The 10,948-nt window shown below is 47.0% G+C and overlaps 1 annotated feature.

The window, feature by feature from the left end:
- Positions 648–717: an enhancer, noted in NCBI's record as "active region_4101". NCBI's record gives its function as "activates an Ori minimal core promoter by ATAC-STARR-seq in GM12878 lymphoblastoid cells {active_cell/tissue: GM12878}" and the evidence as "EXISTENCE:reporter gene assay evidence [ECO:0000049][PMID:35858748]".

Raw genomic sequence — 10,948 nt, 5'->3', positions numbered from 1 at the left:
AAGATTTTTTTTAATGTGAGCTTAACCTATTGTTTCTTTTTTAATTTAGTCTTCTCTATTTATACATATAGACACATGGTATTAGAGGGTGGTAGCCACCCCTTAAAAATAGCACCGCACCCAAAAGAGAAATGTCTTCTTACGGGGTCTCATGGTGTTCCTGAATACAGAAAAATTCTAGACAATTCTCTGGCTCGCAAAAGACTGAAATTACTTGGTTTAGAGATTTTTATTGGAACCCTTTTTAAGCCCAGGCAGTTTGGTGGTGTAAGGGTGGCCTTTTACTTATCATCTTCACTTTGACCTGTTTCAGCCCCAGTCACAGCTTCTTTCTTGTAAAGATTTCAAGAAACTCAACCTCAGCAAGGGGCTGTGGGAGGGTCAAAGTTCAATCTGCCGGAATATTTTTTTTCCATAAGTTATTGGGGTACAGGTGGTGTTTGGTTACATGAGTAAGTTCTGTAGTGGTGATTTGTGAGATTTTGGTGCACCCCTCACCCGAGCAGTATACACTGCACCCTATTTGTAGTCTTTTATCCCTCACCCTCCCGCTCTTCCCCCTAAGTCCCCAAGATCCATTGTATCATTCTTATGCCTTTTCTGCAGGAATATTTTCAATCCTGAACTCAAACCAACCCGCTCTCCAAGAAGCAATCCACTCCACTTGCGTTTGTTTTCCTGTGGGTTCTGTGACTGCTCATTACGTGTGAGGAGAGGCGAGGGCCTGTGTATAAACATCACAGCTGAACAAGGAGCGTATTTCTTTCCCCCTCTCTAAATCTGTACCCTTCTCCTTCTCACCAGTGCTACAATTTCCTCTGGCACTTGAGACAAACATATGTTATTTTCAGTTCCACAACTTTTGAGTTCTCTATATCACCACACATAAGGCCCAGGCGTTGCAAACATAAATACACGTGGGCGTCTGCATTTCAACCACTGAACTCTCACCACTTTTTTCTTTTTAAGTGCAACGTAACTCAAGTGAATTTTCACCGTGGCCAAGCAGCATGACAGAGTCTTCTAGCAAAGTCAACATTTTTCCATCCCAAACCTCCATCCCACTCCCCAAACTCCTACCATTTGCCATACACACCCCCCAAATTAGCAAACGCTCAAACCAGGTCCCGTGGGCAAAATTCTTTAGTGATCCTCTTATTTTCTTGCCTACTGATAAAATAGCCCTATAAGTAAATACACCAACTGGGCTTTGCAAAGACAGACCTTCCCCAACAGAAACTTATTGCAGCAACATAAAACCAATGACAAGCCTCGGCTTTGTGGATCCCCTCATAGTAAACAAGAGATAATTTGCAAATTCAAATGTGCTGGACAGGTTGGCACCCTTTCAGGTAGCAGTGGGTTTAGGCTGGGTGCCAAGCTGTGGGAAAGGGAGGTTTTTTAATACCCACCCCCTTCCAGGCACTGTCATCTGAGGCATGTGCTGGGGGCTGGGTGGCATGACAGCGGCACACGGAGACAGAGAGACAGATGTTGGATTTTTCCTCCAGATCCTGGAGAATTTGCAGATGCCCTGGCACATAGGAGATGATGGAGAGTAAGACTGATGATTATAAAACAGCAACTTCCATCTCATACCTGCTTCCTATGAGCCATCCACCTCGTCTCATTTTAGTTATAATTATCCCCACTTGCCAGACAGGGAAACTGAGACTGAGGCCAATAAAGCCTTTTGCCAAGATCACCCAACAAAGCCAAAATCCTGCCCATGTGAGTCCAAGACTGTGCACCTAATGCTGCCTCCCAACAAAATATTTGGCTCTATCAGGTGCTGTGTCATTTTATATTAGTTATTTAATTTAACCACAAGATGGATATTATCAACACTTTACAGATGAGAAAATAAAGCTCAGAGAAGTTAAACAACTTGCCCAGGGTCACCTAGATAATAAATGAGCAGGAGTTTGAACCAATGTCATCTAACTCCAGAGCGCATGTCTCAAAGCACAAGGCTACAAACTTTTTCTACAATGATAGTAAATATTGAGACCATCCTGGCTAATACGGTGAAACCCCGTCTCTACTAAAAAAATACAAAAAATTAGCTGGGTGTGGTGGCGGGCACCTGTAGTCCCAGCTACTCAGGAAGCTGAGGCAGGAGAATGGCGTGAACCTGGGAGGCGGAGCTTGCAGTGAGCCGAGATTGCGCCACTGCACTCCAGCCTGGGTGACAGAGCAAGACTCCGTCTCAAAAAATAATAATAATAATAGTAAATATTTGAGGTTTTTCAGTCCATCCAGTCACTGTCACAACTAGTCAGCTCCGCCCTTGTAACTTGAAAGCAGCTGCAAACCATATGTAAAATGGGTGGGTGTGGCTGTGTAAATAAATCACACTTTATTTACAACAACAGGCAGCTGGAAAGATTTGGCCTGAGGGCCATAGTTGACTGACCACTACCCTAAAGCCTGTCCACAGCCATGTCACATCCAGGTTCCAGGTCAGGAAACGATGGGCACAGGACTGGAGGCAGAGAGACCAACGCGTGGCCTGCACTTTTCCTGATCTCATCTCCTATTACTCTTTCCTTTGCTTTCTCCAATCTAGCTGCACAGCCTTCCCGCTGCTCTTCAAACATGCCTGGCATCCCACAATCTCAGGGCCTTTGCACTTGCTGTTGGCCCTGCCTGAAGCACCCATCCTTCCAGATTCCTTCATGGCTCATTCCCTCACCTCCTTTTGTTCTTTGCTCCACCGATGACTTTTCAGTAAGGCCTTCCCTTGACTACCCTGTCAAAACTGGCCACACACACCCATGCCAGCCTTTCCTGTCTCCCGCCACCCCCCCACCCCCACTATCTTTTTCTCCATAGCACTTATCACTCTCTGAATAGCTCCATCATTTTACTAATTCATTTCACTCACTTTCTGTCTGTACTTCCCACCACTAGAATGTAAACCCTGTGCAGGGTAGGGGCAGGGATAGGCATTCTTGTTTCTTGTTTTGTCTGTTTTGGTCACTGCACTATATTCCCAGATCCTAGAGTAGTACCTGGCACACAGCGAGTAACCACTAAAAATGTGGCTCACACCTATAATCTCAGCACTTTGGGAGGCCAAGGCAGGTGGATCACTTGAGGCCAGGAGTTCGAAACCAGCCTGGTCAACATGGCAAAACCCCGTCTCTACTAAAAAATACAAAAATTAGTTGGGTGTGGTGGTACACACCTGTAATCCCAGCTACTCAGGAGGCTGAGGCAGGAGAATCACTTAAGCCCAGGAGGCAGAGGTTCCAGTGAGCCTAGATCGCACCACTGCACTCCAGCCTGGGCGACAAAGCGAGACTCTGTGTCAAAAAAAAAAAAAAATGTGTTGAATGACTTGATAAGTTAGGGACTGATGAGAACCCACATGGTGGAGCTGCCCTGAGTTTGGGACTTGGCTGTGACAACTTCCAGATCCACAGGGGCATTGCCCCCACAATGGAGCCAGGGGCCCCAGCACCTCTCAGCCATTCAGCAATGTCTCCATTGGCCATACAAAGCACAGTGGCAGTCAGGATGGAGCAACAGCAAAGCCAAGCCATCTCCATGAAATGTCCCAGGCTTCACCTTCTTTGTGCTGACCTCTGTCCAATGTTTCTGAAGCCTTTTGAACTCTCCCATCCTCTGTGCATGATACTATCTTTCTGGAGGTGAAACATTCACTGGACACCCTGTTCGAGGTAGCGGAGGAGTCAGAGGCAGGCTTGGAGATGCTTCTTATCAGCCCCTGTTGGCCCTTCTCTGCCAGGGATGGATGGGAGGAAACCATTTGGGGCTGTAACCCGACACTTTGTTTCATGAATGAACTAATTTTTCGTAGGCACCTTCAAGCTGGGAAACATCCCAGAGGTGGACTAACTTTTAACATTAGGTGTAATTAACAATCAGCCATGTCACATGACCCAGGAAGTGCTGGAGACCAAGGATCATAAACCCCCCACTGCGGGCTGTCTTCCATTGCGAGAGTTCCCCACAGGCAGTGCCGCCCTGAGAGATGGAAGGCCTGGCAGTGAATGTGTAATGCATGAGGCTTAGGATGGGGCTGGTCACCTGCCACAGCCATACATGGCCCTCCAAAACCAGAGTAGGTGAGCTGGACCAGAGCCAAACTGCCAATCAGGCGTCTTTTACTATCTTCACTTATGACATGGTCACTGGCCTCTAAGGATGAAATCCCAGCCCATGGGCTGAGAGCTCTCTGCATGCCCAAGACTGTACACAGCTCTCCACATACAACGTCTCTCTGATGTGTCACAAAAACCTGTGATCTCCATTTTATAGATGTGAAAACTGAGGCTCATATGTTCAGTGATTTGCCCGAAGTCCCCAGCTAATAAGTGACAGAATCAGAATTTTAACTGGCTCCGAAGCCCATCTGTGTAATCACAATATTGTAAAACTGCTTAACTTGCCTTTCTGAGCAAAACTTAGAATTTGTATATGTGCATGGAGTGGGAGTTTTGTTGTTGTTTAACCGTAAGAATAAGACAATCTCTTTCTGTCCATGGGGGTAGAGCTAGTATTTTCTTTCCTAGAGCTGAGTATAAAATTGAGGTTAGGGGAATAGGGGGACTGCTAAACCACCCAGGGACCCCATGCCAGCTTCAGGGGCCTCCTTGTCCAGCCACAGCCCCCATCTCTAACTTAGGAGAGGCCCTACATGGAAGAGAGTAGTCTGCCATGGAGTCCAGTGCACCCAGCCTTGCAGCACTCCCCTTCCACTGGGAAAGTTAAAATAAGAGGTAATATGGAGGATCCTCAAAAAATTAAATACAGATCTAGCAATTTCACTTCTAGGTATATTCATAAGATAGGTAGGTAGGTAGGTAGGTAGATAGACAGATAATAGATGATAGATTGATAAGATAGATGATCGATAGATAATAGATGATTGATTAGGGAGATTGATAGATGATAGATAATTGGTGATAGATAGATAGATACATAGATACATAGATAGATGATAGATAGATAGATAGATAGATAGATAGATAGATAGATAGATAGATGACAGATAGCAGAGACTGAGATATCTATACACCAATGCTCATGGCAACATTATTTGCAATAGTCAAAAGGAGAAAAATATCCTAAAGGTCCACTGATTGATAAATGCATAAAGAAAATGTGGTATACACAAACACTGGTATACTATTTGGACTTTAAAAAAAGAACACAATTTTGACATGTGCCACAACATGAATGAACTTTGAGGACATTATGCTAATTGAGATATGCCAGACACAAAAGGAAAAGATTGTATGATTCCACTTCTACGAGGTACCCAGAATGAGCAAATTCATAGAAACTAAATGTAGATTAGAGGTTACCAGGGACTGGGGAGGAGGAGAATGAGGAGTTGGTGTTTCATGGATACAGAGGTTCTCTTGGAAAGATAAAACCTTCTAGAGATGGATGGTGGTGATAGTTGTGCAAGAATGTGGATGTACCTAATGCCACTGAATTGCAGGCTTAAAAATGGTTACAATGGTTAATCTGATGAATTTTACCACATCTAAAACAAAGGTGGGGCGGGGGGGTTCTTTCGATCAGCCTAGAGGAGTTGAAACAAGCTGGAAATGATGGTCAGAGCCGGTAGGTGGGGGCCTGGGAAGCTGACCGCCTGCCGGCTGTGTTGTGCACCCTGAGGAGCATGACAGCCTCTCTGAGCTGAGCTTTGCCTGAGGGCCAGAAACCCTCCCCAGAGATCAGGAAGCCTTTGGTTACTTACCTCTGAGTACATTGCAGAGGGAGAAAGAAACTGACCCAGGAGGGCGGGACAGTCCCCTCTTGTTGCTATAACAATTGGCACCTTTTCTTTTCCACTCACTCGAGACACACTTTCTGAGCACCCACAACGTGCCAGGCACTCTGCTAGGCACCCGCACAGCATGATCAGTGAGGCACTCACCCTTCCACCAACATCTCAGGTAGGATCAATGACACCCATCACAGACAGGAGCAGCAGAGTTCTGTGACTCTCCCAAGGCACGTTCACAGCTACCAGTGAAGCTGAGATTCTAAGGCAGGCCCAGTCTGCATCCAAGTCCCGTATGGATTCTTTCCACAAATCAGTATTTCAGAAGAGAATATGAGAATCCCACTCAAAAGTAAAGATACTTGGGTGACAGAGCAAGACCCTGTCTCAAAAATATATAAATATAAATAAATAAACATAAATAAACTGGGGCAGGGTATCATCAAGTATCTCAAAGGACTGTCTGGTCTTTGTGTCCTACAGTCCAGCGTTTAGCCCACACTCAGGTACAAATAAATGCCCAGATGGGGAACAGCCCCTGCCTCCCGGCAAAGTGCAGCCCCATAACCTACCATTTCCATTTGGCCTTGAAATCGTTACCCTTATGCCACCTACAGAACAGAAGAAAGCATTACCTGGATTCCAATCCAGTTTACGTTCCAAGCAAAGAGAGACGCAGGGACCCAAAGCCATTTGAGAAACACTATTAACACTATCGGGCCAGTCTGCTGTTTTCCTTCTTAGAGCCCAGCTCAGCCACTGACTTGCTGCTTGACCCGGGGCAAGTCCCTGGGCCCCCGTTGTCCCCTATGAGTACTAACAGAGTAGACCCCATGACCCCAAGATCCCATCCAGCCTTGTTGTTCCCACGAGAAGGAAGTCACCACTTGGTAATAGACATGCAGATGTTCCCTCCCCCTCCCGCAAGTCCCTTCCTCTGCTAGACCCAGTGCTTCTAATCCCCTGCCTAGAAGGGCTTCACCCAGCCCTGGGAGTCCTGCTTCTCACTCAGGTCTACTCATGCAAACAGCCCCTACCCTTGTCTGGAGGCCTCCAAGTGTGCTTTCTCTCATGTCCACTGGGAAGGCCCTGGGGAGAAGGGTGCAGCCTCCCTCTCTGCCCAGGGTGCTTGACTGTTAGTGATCCCCAGGCACACTTCCCCCACCCTGTCCCCGGAGACATTTCTAGAGTTGTTTTAAGAGTGAGGCTGGGGAAATCTATTAATGAGAGCGGTAATTGTTACCTTTGGGCACCCAAGGCTGATTTACAACAGTTAATGCCTCAGATTCCAAAGGCATAAATTTCGGCTTTTCCACCATTTTGTCTGGAGCAAAACAAAACACAAGGAGATTACAATATCCAGGGCTACAGATGTTTGGCTGCACAGAACATTTTTCTAAGATAGGGAAGGGGGGAGATTAATTTAATTGACTCTATGGCATCCCCGATGCTTCCTAAGCTGTACGCATCTGCATGGGGATAGAAGCTTTTGATGAATATCCATATGTGTTTCTCAGGAGCAAGGAAAATAGTACAGGGGGTGAGTTGACCTCTGCCAGCCTGAGCTCTGTCCTGATAGGGTTGAGCATCTTCATCAGGGAGGTGACAAGACTTTCAAAGCAATGCCCTTCACCCTCAGGGAGTGGCTGTGGGTCTGGGAGAAACGGCTCAGCCATCTCTGTAGAATTCCTTGGGAAAAAAAAAAACTTCAGAGATCATGCTGTGGTTACCCTGTTTGGAGGGTGAATAGAAGAGGCAAAGAAGCTGACCCCATTTTCCTTCCAAATGGGGATCTGGGGGAGTTGGATACTCAGAAAAGAATTCAGTATTTGGGATTCATCCAGTCAGAGTTTCCAGAAACTCCTGTAAGAGCAATAAAGCCACAGTAATTTATTCCCAAAAGAGAGAAAACAGCTACATTTCCTAAGACACAAGCAGAAAAACACAGCCTTCCCACCACCACCCCCTATGCCTACTGCTAGAAGTCTGTCTTCCTACCTTGGCTCACATTTGGCCCCATTCCAGGCCAGTAAGTGGCTTTGGCATTACAGTCGAGGTCTCCAGCCCCACACACACATCACACAGCCCTGGTGTCTTGGCTCCAACCCTCCCTGCCAGTTACCCCAGCAGAGACCTGAGGCCGGGACATTAAGTAGCACAGCCCAAGTGCTGTGTCGAGTTTCATATTCAAACAAGCCCCTGGGATTCTAATCATTCAACAAATATTTGCTCCGTGTCTGCTAAGTGTAAGGCATAGTATGAACAGGCCTAAAGGAATTTCTGGCCCATTCTTAGGCCAGTTTTGAGTGAGAGTTCAGAAACAGCTCATCTCTGTCCCCTGCATCAGCTTTTTGTTTTGTTTTGTTTTGTTTTGTTTTTGTTTTTATTTGTTTTGTTTTGAGACAGAGTCTTGCTCTGTTGCCCAGGCTGGAGTGCAGTGGTGCGGTCTTAGCTCACTGCAACCTCTGCCTCCTGGGTTCAAGCAATTCTGTCTCAGCCTCCGTAGTAGCTGGGATTACAGGGGTGCACCACCATGCCCAGCTAATTTTTGTTTTTTTAGTAGAGGCAGGGTTTTACCATGTTGGCCAGGCTGGTCTTGAACTCCTGACCTCAGGTGATCCACCCACCTTGGCCTCCCAAAGTGCTGGGACTGTGTCTTTATGGTTTCCAAAGCCATTATCATATCTGAACATCCCAGCCAGCCGTCCAATAACGTGGATAATCTCATCTCCACTTTGCAGAGGAAGAATGTAACAGAGAAGACAAGTAACTTGCCTGAGGTCACCCAGCAAAGTTGATACTAGATCTCATGTTTCATGATCACTGGAAGAAAAAAAAGGAAGGGGCCAGATAAATTACTGCTCTGTGAGAGTGAAGCAAATGGAGTTCAACTGTATCCGGCCCCCCTGAATCCAAACTCTCTTTGTTCTTGAAAAAATTGCATGGGATTTCATATGTGTATGAGCGAATAGAAGAACTACTTTCCCTGCTCTGTGTGAGATGCCATCATGAGAAGGACACAAGGGTTACTGCTGTTTTATTTTATTAATTTTTAAAATTAATTAATTTATTTTTTGAGACAAAGTCTCACTCTGTTGCCCGCCCAGGGTGGAGTGCAGTGGCATGATCCCGGCTCACTGCAACTGGGTTCAGGTGATTCTCCTGCCTCAGCCTCCCGAGTAGCCGGGATTACAGGTGCGCGCCACCACACCTGGCTAATTTCTGTATTTTTAATACAGACGGGGTTTCACCATGTTAACTAGGCTGGTCTCAAACTCCTGACCTCAGGTGATCCACCCGCCTCAGCCTCCCAAAGTGCTGGATTACAGGCGTGAGCCACCACACCTAGCCCCAAGGGTTACTACTGGATTTCATTCTTAATTCTAGCATTGCTTCCAAACAACTGCACTGGAGAAGGATGTAAAGTGCTCACCCTTTGTTTTAGGGATGGGGAAACTAAACCCAGAGGTGCCAAGGGCCCTGACTTACTGGGTCAGAACTGGCTCTTGAACCCAGCTTTCCAGGTCACTGACTTTTTCCCTTCATCAACCAAGATGCTGTTGATTCGGGAGAGAAGACTCAACTCAGACATCCAAATTGCTTCAGGGCTCTCCTCCTCCCTGTTCTCTTCTCTGTTGTTGTTGTTGTTGTTGTTTGTTTTTTGTTTTCTTTCCCTCTCAGTCCAGGATGGAAGACAAGAAGGAAGCATCTGGCCATAAGAGCCCCTGGCCCCAGAACAGCCCCTTCTCCCAGAGGAGAAATAATTAAAGACCTCTGCAGGGCACTATGGGAAGAGAAGGGTCCACAGGCTAGAGTGCCCTGGGCTTCCTCTCCCAGCCCAAGCAGAGGCCCTGAACAGGGAGGAAATGCTCCTGTGAAGCAGGGAGATGGGATGGGGGGAGAGGCTGGGAGCAAGTTAATGATGTACCCTGAGATTTCTGGATCAATTCCTCTGATGTGCAACTAGGAACTTCCTCCAAACTAAATCGGTGTGAACCTTCCAGCCCATCATTACATAGAAGCTCAGACAGTAAATACAGTGCTTGTGTTTACCATGCTCATGTCGTGCACCCACGGCAGACCCTGCCAATCAATGGCAGCCTCCTTATCCACTGACTGTGGCGGCCAACACCAATCCAATGGAGTTGCATTTGAAAGGTAACTGCTCACTGTGGGGGCTATGGAAAATCTCCCTTACTTTTGGGTCCACCTTGCTTCCCTTACTTTAGAAAATTACTGTACCTACACCACCTGTTTCTGATTGGGCTGTCAATCCAGGAGCCACAAGTACTATCCTCCAGGATGGACAATGAGAGTACTCTGCGCTCAATCCCTAGCACATGATTGAAGAGGGTATGCTATCCAAGTCTACCAATCAGTCTTTTTCAGGGATGAATAAGAATGAGGGAGAAAGATGGCAGTACCTCTCTGGGACTGGCCATGAGGAAGATACAAGCCTGAGGCTTGCATTGAGAATGAGGACACACTCAGGAAAGCAGAGCAGAGACAAGGGAGAAAGAGGAGCCCTGGTGACATTGTTTAAACCCTGGATCTGGTTGGCCTGAAGTCTGGTCTGCCCCTTGAACTTCCCAACTATGCAAGGCAATATAAATCCATAAATGCCATGGTCCTTGCTGGAGAATCACATAACTCCGCTTTGCCTCACAGTCTGCCTCGGCTGAAGCTGGTGGGGCCTGGAACTGATGGGGCTGCCTTGTTCTGTCCTGCTGCATGAGTGCAGCCTGCATCCTTGCACCCTCTAAGCTCTTTTCACAAACTGGTGCCTCATTGGCTAGGAAAGAGCTCAGATGGCTCCATGCAGCGCCGTTGCAACTACTCCACTGACTACCGGTCTGAGCAGCCCCCAGGCACTCCTCAAAGTTGAGGTCTTTGCATGCAAAATACCAACAAGCAGGCAAGGAAAATGTCAACCAGGGTCGAGCCAGGTGTTATCTTTAAGGAAATACAATTCATCATTTGACAAGAAACAAAGATGGGCCGGGTGTGGTGGCTCACACCTGTAATCCCACAACTTTGGGAGGCCGAGGTGGGTGGGTAACGAGGTCAGAAGATCAAGACCATCCTGGCCAACATGGTGAAACCCCGTCTCTATTAAAAATACAAAAAAGTTAGCCGGGCGTGGTGGTGCGCACCTACAGTCCGAGCTACTCGGGAGGCTGAGGC

The sequence above is a fragment of the Homo sapiens genome, chromosome 10 (genome assembly GCF_000001405.40).
Source record: "Homo sapiens chromosome 10, GRCh38.p14 Primary Assembly".
In the NCBI taxonomy this organism is placed as follows: domain Eukaryota; kingdom Metazoa; phylum Chordata; class Mammalia; order Primates; family Hominidae; genus Homo; species Homo sapiens.
This window is presented reverse-complemented; position numbering and strand designations above follow the sequence as displayed.